Below are 23,119 nucleotides of genomic sequence, written 5' to 3'. Positions count from 1 at the left end.
AGAAGGGAAATGTGGGTGGGGGAGCCCTACTGGGGCACTGCCTAATGGAGCTGTGAGAAGACGGCCACCGTCCTCCAGACCACAGATTGGTAGATCCACCAACAGCTTGCATTGTGTGCCTGAAAAAGTGGCAGACACTTAACACTAGCCTGTGAAAGCAGCCAGGAGGGAGGATGCAGAGCCACAGGGGCAGAGTGGCCCAAGACCATGGGAACCCACCTCTTGCATCAGTGTGACCCGGATGTGAGACATGGAGTCAAAGGAGATCATTTTGGAGCTTTAAGATTTGACTGACTTGTTGGATTTCGGACTTGAATAGGGACGGTAGCCCCTTTGTTTTGGCCAATTTCTTCCATTTGGAACAGCTGTATTTACCCAATGCCTGTACCTCCATTGTATCTAGGAAGTAAATAACTTGCTTTTGATTTTACAGGCTCATAAGCAGAAAAGCCTTGTCTCAGATGAGATGTTGGACTGTGGACTTTTGAGTTAATGCTGAAATGAGTTAAGAATTTGGGGACTGTTGGGAAAGCATGATTGGTTTTGAAATGTGAGGACATGAGATTTGGGAGGGGTCGGGGTGGAATGATATAGTTTGGCTGTGTCCCCACCCAAATCTCATCTTGAATTGTAACTCCCACAATTCCCTCATGTCATGGGAGGAACCCGGTGGGAGGTGATTGAATTATGGGAGATGGGTTTTTCCTGCGCTGTTCTTGTGATAGTGAATGAGCCTCATGAGATCTGACGGTTTTAAAAATGGGAGTTTCTCTACACAAGCTCTCTCTTTGCCTGCTGCCATCCATGTAAGACATGACGTGCTCCTTTTTGCCTTCTGCCATGATTGTGAGGCCTCCCCAGCAATGTAGAACTGAGTCTGTAAGTCCATTAAACCTCTTTTACTTCCCAGTCTCAGGTTGTCTTTACCAGCACTGTGAAAATGGACTAATACACTTGGCCTCATCACAGGCGCTGGGGCACCAGGCTGGGGAAATTTCTCACTTCTCTCATCTCTGAGGGACTGTAAGGCCACTGTAAGCCCACCACCATTGCTAAAGACACCCCCCTTCAGGAGAAAACCAAGGGGGCACTGGATGTGAGAGATGGGGCTAGACTGGAAGAGAGCACAAGAGGTTGATGACCCATACAAAACATAACCATAGAAAATATGTGCTGGGTTGTTTACTGTGACACAGTTTTAGTGAGTGCTGACTTCTTTAATCTGTACAACAAGCCTATAAAGTCAGCGCTACTGTATTATTCAGTTCTCACATTGCTAATAAAGGTATACCCAAGACTGGGTAATTTATAAAGAAAAAGAGATTTAACAGACTCACAGTTCCACATGGCTGAGGAGGCCTCACAATCATGGCAGAAGACAAAGGAGGAGAAAGCCATGTCTTACACAGTGGTGGGCAAGATAGCTTGTGCTGGGGAACTCCCATTTATAAAACCATCAGATCTCACAAGACTTATTCACTACCACGAGAACAGTATGGGGGAACCACCCCCCATGATACAATTATCTACACCTGTCACCCTTGACAGGTGGAGATTATTATAATTCAAGGTGAGATTTCGGTGGGGACACAGCCAAACCATATCAGCTATCATCATTCCCATTTTTCAGAAAAGAAAACTGAGGGACAGAGGAAGGAAATCACCTAGCCAAGGTTTACCAGCTCATGACAGTGACTCTGGAATTTGGATCAGGCAGTTCAACTCCAGAGCCCACTCTCTAAGCCACTGGACCAGGAGCCCCCACATAAGTGATGGTCAACATTGAACAGCCGTGAAGGGCTCCCCACACATCTTCTCACTCGGTCCTCCCAACAGGCTGCAGAGGCTGGAAAAATGAGTGGTGGTCTCATCCCTGCTTCATGAGAGGCAGTGACCAGGAACACGGAGGTGAAGGGAGATGTTGGTTAATGGCGAAGCCTGGCCTCAAACCCAGCTCTTCTGATTTCTGAGACCATTGCTTTTGCTATTGTTGTTTGTTTAGCTTTTTTCCAAGTGTCATATTGGTGTGTGTGAATTTAAACACAGAAAAAAGACTGCAACTGAGTGGTTGTTATAGACTAAATTATGTCTCCCAAATTTCATTTGTGGAAGTCCTAACCTCTAGTACCTCAGAATATGACTGTATTTAGAGACAGGGCCTTTAAGATGAAATGAGGCTATTAGGGTGGCCCCGATCCAGTATGACTGGTGTCCTTGTGTCCTTACAAGAAGAACATGAGGAGATTAGGACAGAGAAATACACCAGGAATGCATACACTGAGAGAGAACACCATGCAGAGAGGGAGCAAGGGGACAGCCGTCTGCAAGCCAAGAAAAGGAGCCTCAGGGAAAAGCAACCCTGCCGGAGCCTTGATCTTGGACTTCTGGCCCTTGAACTGTGAGAAAATAAACTGGTGCTGTTTAGCCCATCCAATCTGTTGTATTTTCTTATGGCAGCCTGAGCACACGAATATAGGGAAAAGCATCTACCAGTTACTATCGTATTGCCAGGAGGCTGAGAATGGCTTACCCATGGGTCCAGCTAGACTCCTCTAGAACCTACATGTGGAATTTCTAAAGGAGGAAAGATCTCTGGTCTCTGAGAGGGAGGAGGCCTTTGGGGCAGGGGCGGTGCTTACGGTCATTCGGCCAGTGTCTGCCACTAAGGTCAGGGCCAGAATCTGACTCACCGCTGATGGGAAGAACACATCAGCTGAGAAAGAACTGCAGAAATGAGTTCAAATGCTCAGCAGCTGCTGGCCGAAGGCCATTCCAAAATGGCTGTTACAATCTACCCTAATGATCAGACCTCCTCCTCGCCCACAGTAAACATGCTCCCTTCTCTTCAAACTCGTCTTTTTCTCTGATCTAATTGTAGACTTACTTATTTGGTATTTTAAAAATCACTGCAGTCCATGAGGCTTTGGATTTCTCCTCCTCAAAGCAGGCAGGAAGGAAGGGAGGGAACCAGTGTTTACTGAGCGCCAGGAACTCAACATCAAGGTCAAGCATTTACTAAATATTCACTGTGATCGTTAATCCTCTGGAGACACTTCAGAGGTGTGACACGGAGAACTGGGTGAAATCACAAAGCCTATTTAGGTATATCCTGTGACTTCTGAAGATAGAGAATGGCACTTTTTTCTAATGAGTGGTTTCCCAGGCAGTTGGCTTTTATAGTCTTAACCTGCCTCTTTTCATATAAAGCGAATTCTCCAGCTTTCTTTCCCATTTCTTTTCTGACCAAAATTTTGGTCTACAGGCATTCTTTAAGTACTCATAAGATTCGTTCATCTAGAGACTCACTACCTTGTTTTAATAGAACATCGTCCTTTTCTAAAATATGTTTAAAAACATATTTTCAAAAACAATATGCACATGCATCTTTACTGAACACTACTCGTGGACAGGGCAGGGTGAAACAAATTCCCAAACCTTGAATATAAATAAATATTCAAGAGGGGAGTATTGGAAAGAAGTAGCTGCTAATAATGGCAGAAAAGCTCTTCTCATTTTACAATTTTGATAATGATGAGTATGTGTGATTCTAACTTATTACAGTAATAATAACACCTATATGAACAGAGGATACAATTTAATGACATATTTTACTATCCTTTATATATACATATATGTGATCAAGCATTTACTATATATATAGTATATATATGCTATTATATATAATATATATGCTCAAGCATTTACTATATATACTCTATATATAGATATATTCTCTATATATATACAGACTAAATTGTCTCCCAAAAAATATAGAGAGTATATATACATATATACATATATATATATATAGAGAGAGAGAGAGAGAGACAGACAGACATAAGAGAAATAAGGCATAGGGGTCATTCCAAGATTTCAGAAAAAGATTGTTCAATATTAACTATAATGGTGTCATATGTAACAAATAACATATTTCATGAATTCGAATAGAAATTTAAATAATGCACTTATAAGAAATCATAATATACTGGCTAAAAGTCAATCAATTCTACTTGGATGGATGGAGTTCTCTGCAGGCACAGAAATAACCAAGGAACTAAGCACAGAACTAACCAGGGAACAAAAGTAGCAAGCTCAACAGATGAACATTTATTCAATCAAGTGGTGAATTCCAACTACCTATGTGTCCCCAGCATGGATTTAAGTGCTGGGGTTGACCAACACGCACCAAGTCTCTGATGTCATGGAGTTTATACAATCCAAAACCTGTGACAGTTTCCTGGCATACAGTAAACATATGGTCTTCCTCCTTTTCTCCTTGTCTCTCCAGATGTCAAAGGTCAATTGATGTCAATAAACTACAAAGAGCAAACAGCAAGCCATATGTGGCTGAGCATATGATTCATTGCCAATAATATTTCCCAACATCTGAAAGGCTTTTGTCTTTGGTCAATTGCCTTGTCTCTATTGAGTTCATCTTCCAACATTTACTTCTAAAATATGCTGAAGCTATTTTAATGTTGCCTTACTGCAATTATTAAGCTAGTTACAAGTTAATTTGCCTATGTAGGACCTTTAGATTATTAGAGCTTGTAACACAACACAGAGCAGCCAAGATGGTGAGTTTTGTGTTGTGCTGGTAGGCTATCCTCCATAGTCAAATGGCTTTCCCTCACAGCGTAGTTGAGATAGCGGCCTCATCCTAACGCAGCAAGACACAATCTTTCTGTCTCAGCAGGCCACGCCTCTCCTTAGCCATAAACCAGATGCTTTATCGGAACAATCTTGGCAAAGTTGAAATCCACGAAGAGTCTTGGCAGATTCCACAAAGCTCTTTCATTTTCTCTCTCTGACTTAGCATTGGAGACTAGTGTGAACTTTCTTCCAGGCTTAATTCTATTTCCCTAAATCAAAGCACAATTTACACATAGCTATTTTTACTAACCTTTTACACATGCTGTGATTTGTTTCACTGATGAAAAAGAAATCCCTCAATTTCGAAATCTGCTTGTAATATGTATTGCTTGGTTAGAAACTTCTATCTTTATTAGATGTCTCTGCATAATGCATATTGTGTTTGTTCACACCATGCAGAGTTGCCTGCCCAGATCTGAAAGCTGTATGATTTTAAATATCTGAAACTGAAAATCCATGGAATAACTTAACCTTTTGCCTGCTCTGAGAACTTTTACTTAGCATATAATTGATTATTAACTTGAACTTTTACTTAGCATATAATTGATTATTAACTTGAACTTTTACTTAATTGCTGTTTAATTGATTTATCTCACTTATTGGAAGCTGATATATTTATAAAGTTTTTTTGGCAGAGTTATAAGCCGACCTATCACAGCGAATTCTATTACTATTTGAATGGACTTGCATTTTTCCATAGCAAAGTCCACGTAAGTCAAGTTATTAATGTTTTTGGTTACTTTCATTAGCATTTATATTTGCCTTTTAGAATCAGCATACAAATTTGAATCATACATAGAGAGAAAATAGCTAACTCAGTACTTATCCTTGTGATTTTTTTAAATCATCATTATATTTCTCTTTTACTTTAATAAACTTATTTTCAAGTAGAAATTATATTACTGTTATTAGGGCTATTTTTGAAAACATTATTTGTAACTATATTTTGTATTTTTCAAAAGAACTTACATTCTAAGTATTAGTGACAAAGAAAATTACTAACTTTGAAAACTCCAGCTATATTATCATTAAACCACTTTTGAATGAGCAAATAACTTATAATCAATTACAATTTTTCAATATATGGCCCCATCTCAATGTCTCCATTTATACATTCACTCATGCATTTATCCATTCCTCCACTCAATAAACATGTATTTTGCACCTGCCATGTGTCAGGAACTACACTAAGCACTGGACCTGCAGAGATGAATGGGATAGGACCTCTGTCCTCAAAAAATTTATTTCATTGATTTGGGGATGGATCAGGAGTGAACACTGGTATGGGTTATGAGAGAGGTGGCAAAAACATATCAATTTCCTATTTTTTTGAATTGGAGGAAATGTATGAAAACTGCAAACCTTGGATTAGTGAAAAGCAAGTTCCTTTTTCCTTTTACCAAGAAGATTTGGGGAAAGTAGTCTTCCTTCTCTTGCATGAAAAGCCAGAGCAGGAATATTGGGATGAATCCTAGTCAGTACAGACACAGGCTAGCAAGAAAAGCCTCCTGGAAAAAGCAAGGGCACCACAAGGTTAATAAGGCTGTTTTGAGGAAGACAGAAGCAGGTAAAGAGGCTCTCCAGAAACCCAGAACTGTGCAAAGAGGCTGGCACTGTGGATAGGAAATGACAGGAAATCTGACAAAAGGAAACTTATAAATGATGCCTGCAGAAGGGAATCAGCCAACAAAGAACCTAATTTAAGGAAACACAAGTGTTTGAAGGGCACAGTTAACTAAATTTAGATTCTAGCCAACTTTGTGGTTTGGCTCAGTGACTTGTCATTTGGGGTTTTAAAGCCATCAGGATGCAGGTTAAGAAGGACCCAATCACAGCACGAATAACCAGTCATTACAGGGATTCTCAGTGAACAACACAACTGAACAGATCTAAGTGACAACATGGGTATAAGATGCACCTTCCCTGCCCTGGGAAAGGAGGATGGCCTTTAGATAAGGGAACAATGACTGGGATGCCTAAAGCTCATCATGTGCACTCAATAAATCCAAGACTGTGTCACTCTGGTCTAGTGAGAGTTGCTTCAGTACTGTTCTATCAAAGACTTTTCCAATAGAACTATGAAGATCCTATTTTCTTTTTCACCACTTCCTTGGCCACTTAAGCCATCCACATCCATGGGCTCAGGCCCACATAAATTAACAGAGAATATTAAATCCTCGGCTGTGGCAAACTCTGCCAAAGAATCAGGCCCACATGACCATTCTCTGGTTATTGCCAATTTTATGTAACTTGAGTATCTAGCTTTTTTTCAGACTTTAGGCTGCCCTCATCTTAAATCTGTTTGCCACTTGGTCTATGTCTTGATCTTTGGATCACTGGTCTTAAAACAATGAATATTACTTCTGGATGATCCAAGCCTGTGGGTCACATGAAGCTATTTGCTCTTTCAGTGTGTTCAGAGTGGTGCCATGCAAATCCCCACCTGGACCCCAAGGAAGTGTGGTCTGGTCAGGCAAGCATACCTGTCAGAGGGAGTGTGGTCTGTGGACAGAGGACCACAGACAATAGAAGAGAGGGGCCAAAACTGAGTAGGGACCAGATTGGGGGCTTCTGTTTGTGTGACCAAAGCTGTAAGAAGCCACATAACCCCAGAGGAATGTACTGTTTCAAGGAGGTCCCACTAGAAATAAGATGTCCTACCCTAAGACTTGCAGATGGTTTGCTGATGAGATGAAGTCGCCTCTTTATGCAACAACAGGAGACGACCAATTTGATCCCAGAAACGTAATTCGCTAAAATCATTCAGCACATTTTGTGGGTTCAACAAATATAGATGGTATTGTAATAACAGCTGAAAATAGAAGGGTGGTTCTTCCCTTAGAAGCCATGAAAATCAGGGAGTAAGAACTTGCTAATGCATCACCAACACTGAAGCAGGACAGGAGCTCTGGTTAATGTAAGATCCTGATCTACTTTAAAGTATTTTCACATGCTGAGAGATATTTATGAGGCTTCCACAGTATTATTATTTTAACACCTATATACTATGTGCCAGGCTCTGTGCAAAATGCCAAAATGCCTATAATTAAATGAAAAAATTGCTGCAGAATCCCAGCACTTGTAGACACTCAGAGGAGGGCATCTAACTTCCATAAAAATGGTTAGAGATGACTTCCCAGAGGACACTGACCCTTGAAAAATAAGGATTCATCCATCCAGCTAGGCAGCCTTTGATTCATTTGTTCATTACATGTGCACTGAGTATCTCTGCCTGTTCTAGATGCTGCGGATACAATACTGAATGAGACAGTCAAGGTCCTTACTCTTGTGAAATTTACATTCTGGTGGGGTGGAGACATAACCAGGAGAAACAAAATGCTTCCTTAAGACCATCCAATATCCATCTTCTGGCCTCATTTCCTTCCCCACACTGTGTTTTCCTACTGAGAAGAGAAAAAGAGCATGACTGCTCAACCTAGAGCATTTCCATCCTTCCGGTAAGTATAGCTCGCATCATGACACTAAAATGCCAGTTTATTGCTTACCATCACAACATAATAAATTCCAGAAGGGCATAGGTCAGGTAAAATCAAATTTCTCAAAGTGCAGAGCTGAGAATCAGCTTCAAGCAGAAATCAAAGTGAGAATGCAGATGCCTACCCTGACATGAGATATCCTTACCTCACTTTAACAGTGGGGATCTTTTCTGCCAGTGAAACAAGTTTTCTTTCCCAGGAAAAAGTATGTGGAAGAAGAGCAGGAGTTTCTTTGTGAATCCTAGGAAGAACTTCCAACACTCAGCATCTAATAGGAGGAAACAAGAGGCATGCTCCACTTCATCTTTTCCCAGGACCTTGAGCCTTCAGATTTGAGGGTCCCTTCCGTGGTGCCTGCTGCCAGTGTCTCACTGTGATTCACTGTGTAGAGAGCTGCAGGAAGTCTGAGAAAGCCGGGGACCACTGGGGTGACCACTTCCTGAAAAAATGCTCAGCGTCTTCTGTCCAAGAGGAAGTGGAGGAGCCTGAGGCCAGCGCCTCTACTTCTGCATACAGGGGTCCTTCTGCAACGAGGAACACACTATCATGCCCCACAAGGGAAAGTGTCTCTAAGGGAAAACTGAAAAATCTTCCCCACCCAAATATAAGAGAAAATTGCAAGCCGCTGAAACTGGTAGTTTTAAGCCAGACTAGCCTTCAGAGATCTCAGATTAAGTCTGTAGAAACGACGGAATTGCCTAACAGGGGCAAGAGAAAGGCAGTTGGAAGCTTCTGCAAGGCACCGTTGGTACCATTCTGAAAATTCATGTTTCCTGTTTGCCAACACGTCTGCTTTAAATCCCTCAAGCTGTTAATTACTTGCTAGTGTTATATACCAGCTTTTCTTCATATTTATAGCTTTCATTTCTCTTTGAAGTTATTCAAGTAATATATGCTTGTTGTCAAAAATGTAAAATACAGATAAGCGTAAAAAAGAAAATAAAAATTCCCCATAATATCACCACTTGAAAATAACTGTCGTGGGCACTTTGCTGTATATCCTTCCTGTCTTTTTTCCATGGTGAATTGGATATTAGGGTGAGCTTCTCAGCGTCCGTTCCACCCCCACAGCACTGGGGAACATTTAGGCAGTTTTGCTGGTATTTGCTCCATCCTCAGCTCCAGCATAGGTCCAGGTTTGGCTAAATTAAACTGCAAGTATATCCTACTCTTGACACGGTGTTTATTTCAGGAACCAGCGCATAAGCCAGATCTAAGCCAATCAACGTAGGACAGTCCCCAGCCCCAGGAAAGGCACATGATCAACATGGTCCAATCAGAGGGAATCCTAGAACTCTGCCCAGTGGCTGGGGAGGAGACGCTCACTCCTCGGGTTGGAAGAGGTGTTTCTGGAGACTGTTGGTAGCCATGTTTCGATCACTGGAGGAACCCAGCTTTGGGATGAAGCAGATATCCCAGAAAAGATATATGAAAAGAAATTCAGTCCTTAAAGAAATTTCTGAGCTGCCAAATTAAACTAACACCAAAACTTGTCTTAACTTTTGAAGTTTCTGGCTATATGAACCAACACATTTGCTTGTTGAAGCCAATTAAATTGAGTTTTCTATTCCCTGTAACTGAATGCATCCTAAGTGACTCATGTAGATATTTTTATAAAAACACATGGCCCCAGCCGGGCGCAGTGGCTCACACCTACAATTCCAGCAGTTTGGGAGGCCGAGGTGGGCAGATCACAAGGTCAGGAGATTGAGACCATCCTGGCTAACACGGTGAAACCCCGTCTCTACTAAAAATACAAAAAAAATTAGCTGGGCTTTGTGACAGGTGCCAGTAGTCCCAGCTACTTGGGAGGCTGAGGCAGGAGAATGGCCTGAACCTGGGAGGCGGAGCTTGCAGTGAGCCGAGATAGTGCCACTGCACTCCAGCCTGGGCGACAGAGCGAGACTCTGTCTCAAAAAAATAAAAATAAATAAAAATAATTTTAAACAAAGAAAAAAAACATGGTCCCATCTTACACACACACACACACACACACACACAGACTAGCATAAGAGAAGATAAATTATATATTAAAGTGTTAACATCAATTAATTCAGGGATTGGGATTGTAGGAGTGTGGGGAAAATTTATAAACTTTTCTTTTTAACATTGGAACATTGATTTTTTTAACATTTTTAATAACGTTTTTAAAAAAAAAGATTGGAGTAGCCCCAATTCAATAACTCACATTACCCCAGATGGCTAAACACCATATTTTTAAAAATAGCCCCTTTTACTTAAATGTCATAGCCCTAGTCTCTACAGGTGGAAGGAAAGTGTAACTGAGAAAAGGGTATAAAAATTACAAGTGGAATAGTCTCCAATTCTAACAGGACTGGCTGAAATTGGGACTAGATAATTAACAGCAAATATGTGTTTTATTACTGTGGACCAATATTCAATGGCATCTATAATAGGGTTCTCTAGAGGGACAGAACAAATAGGATATATACATATATTTATTTATATATTTATATATAATGTATATGTTTATATATAATATAAATTTATATTTATTTTATATTTATATCATATATTTATTACATTATATAAATATATATAAATCATATGTTTTATTATATATAGTATTTATAGTTATATATTATAAATATTTTTATTTATATTATATATATTTTACATATATATATAAAACCCCCATATATAAAAAACTCTCCTTTATATGTATATATTTATATATATGTTTAAATATATATAAAGAGGAGTTTATTAAGTATTACCTTAATCACAAGGTCCTACAATAGGCTGTCTGCATGCTGAGGAACAAGGAGAGCTAGTCCAAGTCCCAAAACTGAAGAACTTGGAGTCTGATGTTCAAAGGCAGGAGGCATCCAGCATGGGAGAAAGATGTAGGCTGGGAGGCTAGGCCAGTCTCTCCTTTTCACGCTTTTCTGCCTGCTTTATATTCACTGGCAGCTGTTTAGATTGTGCCCACCAGATTAAGGGTGGATCTGCTTTCCCCAGCCCACTGACTCAAATGTTAATCTCTTTTGGCAACACCCTCACAGACACACCCAGGATCAATACTTAGTATCCTTCAATCCAATCAAGTTGACACTCAGTATTAACCATCACAAGTCCACCCTTTGTCAACTTGAACCCATACGCAACTCCTGAGATCAATGACAATAATAAGGTCAGGTCATAATTACATCTAAAATAATACAATTATCCTTTGTACAACCAGAAATGCACCAATCCCCAACCCAAATACTATTACACAAAGTTAACAATACACAAATGCTGATACCAAGTCAATAAATCTTTTGTCACATGGTAAAAAAAGGAAATAAAATAAAGATATTTTCTTAATACAAGTGTATACATGCACAGACGTGTTTTTAACAAAAGAAGGAGGAAATACTCATGACAATTACAGTCCCCACTTCTGCAACTGGTCATGTGGTCATAGCTGGTATTGATGACTACCTTCTTCTACTACCCATTCTGTATTCCCTTTGCCTTCAGCAAGCACCTCAGTGGGTTGTGGTTTTTTTCCTGGTGGAGTGACCCAAACCTTCATTCCTGAGGGGTTTGGGCCAATTGTAGTCCTTCCTGGATTGGGCTGTTGTCGTTTCCCATTGACCTTAATCACAGGGCATAGTAATACTAAGAGATGCCCTAATGGATCTCCTGTATTCCATGCATATTCTTCCTTACCTCTGTTGTGGAGTAGTAGACTGATTTCATCTTGATAGTCCAGGTCAATCACCCCAGCTAACACTGTAACTCCCTTCTTAGCCTGTTGACTTAAAGGTAGGAGGAGCCCAAAGTGTCGAGGTAGCCATCTTAACTTCCACTTTAATGGAATCGTTGTTGTGTCTCCTGCTGGCAGCATTCCTCCCTCTGGAACTAAGACCTCTAGGCCAGCAGAACGTAATGTCACAAGAACAGGAAGAAAAATTTTGCTAGTGGATCACTATGGGTGATGGTGAGTGGTGCCACTTCCACTTCCACCCCTTGATTCCTGGACCCATGAATCCTGGCTACGGGAGAAAGAGTACCATATATTGGACACTGATTCAGAGCATACACGGCCTTCTGGAGAACTTTGCCCCAGCCCTGCAAAGTATTGTCACCTAGTTGGCATTTTAATTGTGACTTCAAAAGGCCATACCACCACTCTATCAACCCAGCTGCTTCAGGATTATGGGGAACATGGTAAGACAGGTGAATTCCATGAGCATGAGCCCACTGCCGCCCTTCTTTAGCCATAAAGTGAGTGCCTTGGTCAGAGGCAATGCAGTGTGGACTACCATGACGGTGGATAAGGCAGTCCGTGAGTCCACGGCTAGTAGTCTTGGCAGAAGCATTGTATGCAGGATAGGCAAACCCATATCCAGAGTAAGTGTCTGTTCCAGTGAGGACAAACCTCTACCCTTTTCATGATGGAAGAGGTCCAATATAATCAACCTGCCACCAGGTAGCTGGCTGTTCTCCCCGAGCAATGGTGCCATATCAAGGGCTCAGTGTTGATCTCTTCTTCTGGCAAATTGGACACTCAGCAGTGGCTGTAGCCAGGTCAGCCTTGGTGAGTGAAAGTCCATGTTGCTGAGCCCAAGCATAACCTCCATCCCTGCCACCATGGCCACTTTGTTCATGGGCCCATTGGGTGATGACAGGGATGGCTGGGTAAAGAGGCTGAGTGGTGTCCACAGAATGGGTCATCCTGTCCACTTGATTATTAAAATCCTCCTCTGCTGAGGTCACCATTGGTGAGCACTCACAAAGCACTCACATGGGATATCTTCACACTTTTGACCACTCCAAGAGGTCCATCCACATACCTCTTCCCTAAATTTCTGTCACCAATTTTCCAATCATGCTTCTTCCAAGTCCCTGACCATCCAGCCAAACCATTGACTACAGCCCACAAATCAGTATATAATCGCACATCTGGCCATTTCTCCTTCCATGCAAAGTGCACAACCAGGTGCACTGTTCAAAGTTCTGCCAACTGGGAAGATTTCCCTTCACCCCTGTCCTTCAGGGATGTCCTAGAAAGGAGCTGTAGTACTGCAGCTGTCCACTTTCGGGTGGTGTCTGCATATCATGCAGAGCCATCTGTGAACCATGCCCTAGTCTTCACTTCCTCTGACCATCATAGGGAATGCTCCATGAGGTCATCAGTGCAGGCTAGGGGAGAAAAGGCATGGTGGCAGGAGTGGAGACCATGGACATTTGAGCCACTTCCTCATGCAACTTACTTATGCCTTCAGGATCTGCTCGAGCCCAATCACATATATACCACTTCCATTTGATGATGAAATGCTGCTGTGCATGACCCACTTTATGGCTAGATGGGTCAGAAAGCACCCAGTTAATGATAGGTAGTTCAGGTCACATGGTGATTTGATGATCCATAGTCAAACAAGTTTCCACCAAAGACCAGTAATAGGCCCAGAGCTGTCTCTCAAAAGGAGAGTAGTTATCTGCAGAAGATGGCAGGGCCTTGCTCCAAAATCCTAGAGGCCTCTGCTCTAGGCCTCACCTATGGAGGCCTACCAAAGGCTCCAGACAGCATCCCTGTCTGCCACTGACACCTCAAGCACCACTGGATTTGCTGGGTCATATGGCCTAAGTGGCAGAGCAGCTTCACAGCAGCCTGGACCTGTTGCAGAGCCTTCTCCTGTTTGTGACCCCACTCCTGGTACCAAAATCTGTATTAGTCAGGGTTCTGTAGAGGGAAAGAAATGATAGGATATATATGAGAGTTTATTAAGTATTAACTTACAAGATAACAAGCTTCCACAATAGGCTGTCTGCAAGCTGAGGAGCAAGGAGAGCCTGTCTGAGTCCCAAAACTGAAGAACTTGGAGTCCGATGTTCAAGGGCAGGAGGCATCCAGCACAGGAGAAAGATGTACACTGGGAGGATATGCCAGTCTCTCCTTTTCATGTTTTTCTACCTGCTTTATATTCCCTGGCAGCTGATTATATTGTGCCCACCAGATGAAGGATGGATCTGCCTCCCCCAGCCCACTGACTCAAATGTTATTCTCCTTTGGCAACACCCTCACAGACACACCCAGGATCAATACTTTGTATCCTTCAATCCAATCAAGTTGACACTCAGTATTAACCATCACAGCATCTATATGTTTCTTTCCAGATGTGCATTTTATCTCTTTTTAAAAGGTTACTAGAAAGTTGCTGCAGAAGTATCTACTGGGTTCTAAGATATAACACATAATTTGTATCTCAATGTAGTGTTTTTCCCATAAAAGGAAAAAATCTTTAAAACAATTTCAATACATATGTAACAAAAAATTCTTATATTTTAAAAGTTCTTACAAATTTTAAGTATTTATTGACCTGTACCTATGAACATGCAAATAAGTTATATATATAGTTAACTTAAGTTATATATATAGTTATATATATATAACTTAATAACTATATATATAGCTTAATAAGTTGTATATAAGTTATATATAGTTATATATAACTTATTAAGTTATATAATAGTTATATATAACTTATTAAGTTATATAATAGTTATATATAACTTATTAAGTTATATAATAGTTATATATAACTTATTAAGTTATATATAGTTATATATAACTTAATAAGTTATATAATAGTTATATATAACTTATTAAGTTATATAATAGTTATATATAACTTATTAAGTTATATATAATAGTTATATATAACTTATTAAGTTATATAATAGTTATATATCTTATTAAGTTATATAATAGTTATATATAGTTATATACATAGTTATTATATAACTTAATAAGTTCTATATGTGTTATATATATAACTTATTAAGTTATATATATATATATGTACAGAGAGCTGTGCAAGCTGCTCTGCCACTTAGGCCATATGACCCAGCAAATCCAGTGGTGCTTGAGGTGTCAGTGGCAGACAGGGATGCTGTTTGGAGCCTTTGGTAGGCCCACATAGGTGAGGCCTAAAGTGGAGGCCTCTAGGATTTTGGAGCAAGGCCCTGCCATCTTCTGCAGATAACTACTCTCCTTTTGAGAGACAGCTCCAGGCCTATTACTGGGCTTTGGTGGAAATATATATATATAGTTATATATATAACATCAAATATATATATATATATATATATATTTTTTTTTTTTTTTTTTGAGATGGAGTCTCACTCTGTTGCCAGGATGGAGTGCAGTGGCTCAATCTGGGCTCATTGCAACCTCCACCTCCCTGGTTCAAGCAATTCTCCTGCCTTAGCCTCCCAAGTAGCTGGGACTACAGGGGGGCACCACCATGCCCAGCTAATTTTTGTATTTTTAGTAGAGATGGGGTTTCACCATATTGGCCGCCATGGTCTCGATCTCTTGACCTCGTGATCCACCTGCCTCAGCCTCCCAAAGTGCTGGAATTACAGGTGTGAGCCACCATCCCCGGCTGCAAGTAAGTTATATTTTTGAAATATATGTACGAGGTCACTTCCAAGATGGCCGAATAGGAACAGCTCCAGTCTGCAGCTCCCAGCAAGAATGACACAGAAGACAAATGATTTCTGCATTTCCAACTGAGGTACCTGGTTCATCTCATTGGGACTGGGTGGACAGTGGGTGCAGCCCATGGAGAGTGAGCTGAAGTGGGACGGGGCATCACCTCACTCAGGAAGTGCAAAGGGTTGGGGGTTTTCCCTTTCATAGCCAAGGGAAGCCATGACAGACTGTACCTGGAGAACTGGTACACTCCTGACCAAATAATGTGCTTCTCCCATGGTCTTAGCAACTGGCAGACCAGGAGATACCCTCCTGTGCCTGGCTCGGTGGGTCCCAGGCCCACAGAGCCTTGCTCACTGCTAGTGCAGCAGTCTGAGATCAACCTGCGATGCTGCAGCTTGATGGGGTGAGGGGCATCCGCCATTGCTGAGGCTTGAGTATCTCACAGTGTAAACAAAGTGTCTGGGAAGCTTGAACTGGGCAGAGCCAACCATAGCTCAGCAAGGACTACTGCCACTCTAGATTCCACCTCGGAGGGCAGGGCATAGCAAAACAAAAGGCAGCAGACAGCTTCTGCAGACTTAAATGTCCCTGTCTGACAGCTCTGAAGAGAGCACTGGTTGTTTCAGCACAGCGTTCAAGCTCTGAGAACGGACAGACTGCCTCCTCAAGTGGGTCCCTGAACCCCATGTAGCCTGACTGGGAGATACCTCCCAGTAGGGGCCAACAGACACTTCAAACAGGAGGGTGCCTGTCTGGGACAAAGCTTCCAGAGGAAGGATCAGGCAGCAATATTTGCTGTTCTTCAGCCTCCGCTGGTGATACCCAGTCAAACAGGGTCTGGAATGGACTTCCAGCAAACTCCAACAGACTTGCAGCTGAGGGTCCTGACTGTTAGAAGGAAAACTAACAAACAGAAAGGAATAGCATCAACATCAACAAAAGGGACATCCACAGCAACACCCCATCTGTGGGTCACCATCATCAAAGACCAAAGGTAGATAAAACCACAAAGATGGGGAGAGACCAGAGCAGAAAAGCTGAAAATTCCAAAAACCACAGCACTTCTTCTCCTCCAAAGGATCGCAGCTCCTCGCCAGCAAGGGAACAAAACTGGAAGGAGAATGAGTTTGACGAGTTGACAGAAGTAGGCTTCAGAAGGTCGGTAACAACAAACTTCTCCGAGCTAAAGGAGCACATTTTAACCCATCGCAAAAAAGCTAAAAACATTGAAAAAAGGTTAGACGAATGGCTAACTAGAATAAACAGTGTAGAGAAGACCTTAAATGACCCGATGGAGCTGAAAAACACAGCACAAGAACTTTGCAATGCATGCAGAAGCTTCAATAGCCGATTTGATCAAGCATAAGAAAGAATATCAGTGATTGAAGATCAAATTAATGAAACAAAGTGAGAAGACAAGATTAGAGAAAAAAGAGTGAAAATAAATGAACAAAGCCTCCAAGAAATATGGGGCTATGTGAAAAGACCAAATATATGTTTGACTGGTGTACCAGAAAGTGACAGCGAGAATGGAACCAAGTTAGAAAACACACTTCAGGATATTATCCAGGAGAACTTCCCTAACCTAGAAAAGCAGGCCAACATTCAAATTCAGGAAATACAGAGAACACCACAAAGATACTCCTCAATAAGAGCAACCCCAAGACACATAATTGTCAGATTCACCAAGGTTGAAATGAAGGAAAAAATGTTAAGGGCAGCCAGGGAGAAACGTTGGGTTACCCACAAAGGGAAGCCCATCAGACTAACAGCGGATCTTTCAGCAGAAACCCTACAAGCCAGAAGAGAGTAGCGGCCAATATTCAACATTCTTAAAGAAAATAATTTTCAACCCAGAATCTCATACCCAGCCAAAATAAGCTTCATAAGTGAAGGAGAAATAAAATCCTTTACAGACAAGCAAATGCTGAGAGACTTTGTCACCACCAGGCCTGCCTTACAAGAGCTCCTGAAGGAAGCACTAAACATGGACAGGAACAATCAGTACCAGTCACTGCAAAAACATGCCAAATTGTAGAGACCATGGACACTATGAAGAAACTGCATCAATTAACAGGCAAAATAACCAGCTAATATCATAATGACAAGATCAAATTCAAACACAACAATATTAACCTTAAATGTAAATGGGCTAAATACCCCAATTAAAAGACACCCACTGGCAAATTGGATAAAGAGTCAAGACCCATCAGTGTGCTGTATTCAGGAGACCCATTTCACGTGCAGAGATGCACATAGGCTCAAAATAAAGGGATGGAGGAAGATCTACCAAGCAAATGGAAAGCAAAAAAAAAAAAAAAAAAAAAAAAAAGCAGGGGTTGCAATCCTAGTCTGTGATAAAACAGACTTTAAACCAACAAAGATCAAAAGAGACAAAGAAGGCCACTACATAATGGTAAAGGGATCAATTCAACAAGAGCTAACTATACTAAATATATATGCACCCAATAGAGGAGCACCCAGATTCATAAAGCAAGTCTTAGAGACCTACAAACAGACTTAGACTCCCACACAATAATAATGGGAGAATTTAACACCCCACTGTCAATATTAGATCAACAAGACAGAAGGTTGACAAGGATATCCAGGACTTGAACTCAGCTCTGGACCAAGCAGACCTAATACACATCTACAGAACCCTACACCCCACATCAACAGAATATACATTCTTCTCAGCACCACATCACACTTATTCTAAAATTGACCACATAATTGGAAGTAAAACACTCCTCAGCAAATGTAAAAGAACAGAAATCACAACAAACTGTCTCTCAGACCACAGTGCAATCAAATTAGAGCTCAGGATTAAGAAACTCACTCAAAACCACACAACTACATGGAAACTGAACAACCTGCTCCTGAATGACTACTGGGTAAATAACGAAATGAAGGCAGAAATAAACATGTTCTTTGAAACAAATGAGAACAAAGACACAACGTACCAGAATCTCTGGGACATGTTTAAAGCAGTGTGTAGAGGGAAATTTATAGCACTAAATGCCCACAAGAGAAAGCAGGAAAGATCTAAAATTGACACCCTAACATCACAATTAAAAGAACTAGAGAAGCAAGAGCAAACAAATTCAAAAGCTAGCAGGAGTCAAGAAATAACTAAGATCAGAACAGAACTGAAGGAGATAGAGACACAAAAAACCCTTCAAAATATAAATGAATCCAGGAGCCGGTTTTTTGAAAAGATCAACAAAATTGATAGACTGCTAGCAAGACTAATAAAGAAGAAAAGAGAGAAGAATCAAATAGACGCAATAAAAAATGATAAAGGGGATATCACCACCGATCCCACAGAAATACAAACTACCATCAGAGAATACTATAAACACCTCTACGCAAAGAAACTAGAAAATCTAGAAGAAATGCATAAATTCCTGGACAAATACACCCTCCCAAGACTAAACCAGGAAAAAGTTGAATCTCTGAATAGACCAATAACAACTGAGGCAATAATTAATTATTGAAATTAATTGAAATTGAGGCAATAATTAATAGCCTACCAATCAAAAAAAGTCCAGGACCAGATGGATTCACAGCCGAATTCTACCAGAGGTACAAAGAGGAGCTGGTATCATTCCTTCTGAAACTATTCCAATCAATAGAAAAAGAGGGAATCCTCCCTAACTCATTTTATGAGGCCAGCATCATCCTGGTAACAAAGCCTGGCAGAGAAACAACAACAAAAAAAGATAATTTTAGGCCAATATCCCTGATGAATATCAATGCAAAAATCTTCAATAAAATACTGGCAAACTGAATCCAGCAGCACATCAAAATCTTATCCACCATGATCAAGTCGGTTTCATCCCCGGGATGCAAGGCTGGTTCAACATATGCAAATCAATAAACGTAATCCATCACATAAATAGAACCAATGACAAAAACCACGTGTTTATCTCAATAGATGCAGAAAAGGTCTTCGACAAAATTTAACCACCCTTCATGCTAAAAACTCTCAATAAACTAGGTGTTGATGGGACATATCTCAAAATAATAAGAGCTATTTATGACAAACCCACAGCCAATACCATACTGAATAGGCAAACACTGGAAGCATTCCTTTTGAAAACTGGCACAAGACAAGGATGCCATCTGTCACCACTCCTATTCAACATAGTGTTGGAAGTTCTGCTAGGGCAATCAGGCAAGAGAAAGAAATAAAGGGTATTCAATTAGGAAAAGAGGAAGTCAAATTGTCCCTGTTTGCAGATGACATGATTGTATATTTAGAAAACCCCATTGTCTCAGCCCAAAATCTCCTTAAACTGATAAGCAACTTCAGCAAAGTCTCAGGATACAAAATCAATGTGCAAAAATCACAAGCATTCCTATACACCAATAATAGACAGAGAGCCAAATCATGAATGAGCTCCCATTCACAATTACTACAAAGAGAGTAAAATACCTAGGAATCCAACTTACAAGGGATGTGAAGGACCTCTTCAAGGAGAACTACGAACCACTGCTCAACAAAATAAAAGAGGACACAAACAAATGGAAGAACATTCCCTGCTCATGGATAGGAAGAATCAATATCATGAAAATGGCCATACTGCCCAAGGTGATTTATAGATTCAATACTATCCCCATCAAGCTACCACTGACTTTCTTCACAGAATTGGAAAAATCTACTTTAAAGTTCATATAGAACCAAAAAAGAGCCTGCATAGCCAAGACAATCCTAAGCAAACAGAACAAAGCTGGAGGCATCATGTTACCTGACTTCAAACTATACTACAAGGCTACAGTAACCGAAACAGCATGGTACTGGTACCAAAACAAGATATATAGACCAATGGAACAGAACAGAGGCCTCAGAAATAGCACCACACATCTACCCTAACCATCTGATCTTTGACAAACGTGACAAAAACAAGAAATGGGGAAAGGATTTCCTATTTAATAAATGGTGCTGGGAAAACTGGCTAGCCATATGCAGAAAGCTGAAACTGGATCCCTTCCTTACACTTTATACAAAAATTAACTCAAGATGGATTAAAGACTTAAATATAAGACCTAACACCATAAAAACCCTAGAAGAAAACCTAGGCAATACCATTCAGGACATAGGCATGGGCAATGACTTCATGACTAAAACACCAAAAGCAATGGCAACAAAAGCCAAAATAAACAAATGGGATCTAATTAAACTAAAGAGCTTCTGCACAGCAAAAGAAACTATCATCAGAGTGAACAGGCAACCTACAGAATCTGAGAAAATTTTTATAATCTATCCATCTGACAAAGGGCTAATTTCCAGAATCTACAAAGAACTTAAACAAATTTACAGGAAAAAAACAAACAACCCCTTCAAAAGCGGGCAAAAGATATGAACAGACACTTCTCAAAAGAAGACATTTATGCAGCCAACAGACATGTGAAAAAAAGCTCATCATCACTGGTCATTAGAGAAATGCAAATCAAAACCGCAATTTGATACCATCTCATGCCAGTTAGAATGGCAATCATTAAAAAGTCAGGAAACAACAGATGCTGGAGAGGATGTGGAGAAATAGGAATGCTTTTACACTGTTGTTGGGAATGTAAATTAGTTCAACCATTGTGGAAGACAGTGTGGCAATTCCTCAAGGATCTAGAACTAGAAATACCATTTGACCCAGTGACCCCATTACTGGGTATATAGCCAAAGGACGATAAATCATTCTACTATAAAGACACATGCACACATATGTTTATTGCAGCACTATTCACAACAGCAAAGACTTGGAACCAACCCAAATGTCCATCAATGATAGACTGGATTAAGAAGATGTGGCACATATATACCATGGAACACTCTGCAGCCATAAGAAAGAGTGAGTTCATGTCCTTTGCAGGAACATGGATGAAGCTGGAAACCATCATTCTAAGCAAACTTTTACAAGGACACAAAACCAAACACCACATGTTCTCACTCATAGGTGGGAGTTGAACAAAGAGAATACACGGACACAGGGTGGGGAACATCACACAACGGGGCCTGTCAGGGAGTGGAGGGTAAGGGGAGAGATAGCATTAGGAGAAATACCTGATGTAAATGACGAGTTGATGGGTGCAGCAAACCAACATGGCACATGTATACCTATGTAACAAACCTGCAAGTTGTGCACATGTATCTTAGAACTTAAAATATAATATATATATATATATATACACACATACACACATATATATGTACACACACACATACACATACACATATACACACACATATACACACACACATATATATATGTACACCGGCATACCTCAGAGACATTACAGGCTTCATCCAAACCACCCAGCAATAAAGCAAATATCATAATAAAGTGAGTCACACTAATTGTATGGTTCCCCAGTTAATAAAAAAAGGTATGTTTATACTTTGCTGTAATCTATTAAGAGTGCAATAGCATTATGTCTTTTAAAATGTTCACACCTTAATTTTAAAATACTTTGCTAAAAAATGCTAATGATAATCTGAGCCTTCAGTGAGTCATAACCTTTTTTGCTGAAGGAGGTTCTTGCCTTGATGTTGATGGCTGCTGACTGATCAAGATGGCGGCTGCTGAAGGTTGGAATGGCTGTAGCAATTTCCTAAAATAAGACAATATAGTTTGCCACATTGATTCACTTCTCCTTTCACGAAATATTTATCGGTAACATGCAATGACATTTGATAGCATTTTATCCACAATAAAACTTCTTTCAAAATTTGAGTCAATTGTCTCAAACCTTGCAGGTTTGTGTAATATAGTTTATGTGACATTCTACGTTCTTTTTTTTCTTTGAGAGTCTTTTTTTTTTTAATTTGTACAAATGTATGGGGTACACGAGAAATTTTGTTACATGTAAACAATGCATAGTTATCAAGTCAGGATATTTAAGGTGTCCATTACCTGAGTACAATGAATTTTCATTAGCTATAGTCATCCTACTCTGCTATCAAACACTGAATTTATTTCTTCTGTCTTACTGCGTTTATTTGTACCCTTTAACCCACTTCTCTTCATCCTGCCCATCCTCCCCACTCACCCTTCCCAATCTCTGTTATCTATTTTTCCACTCTTTACCTCCATGTGTTCAGTTTTTTTAGCTCCCACAAATGAGTGAGAACTTCTTTGTTGTCATTTAAATAGTGTTCACAGCATCTTTTCCAGGAGTAGATTCCAGCTTAAGAAACCATATTCTTTGCTTACTTACCTGTAAGTGGCTTATCTGCAACTCCTCATCCATTCAAGCTTTATCATAGGATTGCAGCAATTCCATCACATCTTCAGGCTCCATTTCTAATTCTCCTTCTCTCAATACTTGCACCACATCTGCAGTTACTTTCTCCACTGAAGTCCTGAACCCCTCAGAGTCATCCATGAGGGTTGGAATCAACTTCTTCCAAACCCTATTAATTTTGATATTTTGACCTCCTCCCATAAATCACGAATGTTCTTAATGGCAACTAGAATGGTAAATCCTTTCCAAAACATTTTCCATTTATTTTGTCCAG

At 40.4% G+C, this 23,119-nt stretch overlaps 1 long non-coding RNA gene across 1 annotated transcript in view; it reads right to left on the bottom strand.

Annotated features, from left to right (window-relative positions):
* LOC107985995 (uncharacterized) overlaps positions 1 to 23,119 on the bottom strand; it is a 75,437-nt gene that overhangs the window by 8,331 nt on the left and 43,987 nt on the right. Inside the window, exons 3-5 of the long non-coding RNA XR_001739918.2 lie at positions 22,119 to 22,212; positions 11,829 to 13,845; positions 8,296 to 9,544 (exon numbers count right to left, since the gene is read on the bottom strand). This is a non-coding gene — a long non-coding RNA (uncharacterized LOC107985995). The remainder of the gene's footprint in view (positions 1 to 8,295; positions 9,545 to 11,828; positions 13,846 to 22,118; positions 22,213 to 23,119) is intronic.

The sequence above is a fragment of the Homo sapiens genome, chromosome 2, assembly GCF_000001405.40.
Source record: "Homo sapiens chromosome 2, GRCh38.p14 Primary Assembly".
In the NCBI taxonomy this organism is placed as follows: domain Eukaryota; kingdom Metazoa; phylum Chordata; class Mammalia; order Primates; family Hominidae; genus Homo; species Homo sapiens.
The sequence above is the reverse complement of the archived record's forward strand: the minus strand, read 5'-3'. Positions and strand labels throughout refer to the sequence as shown.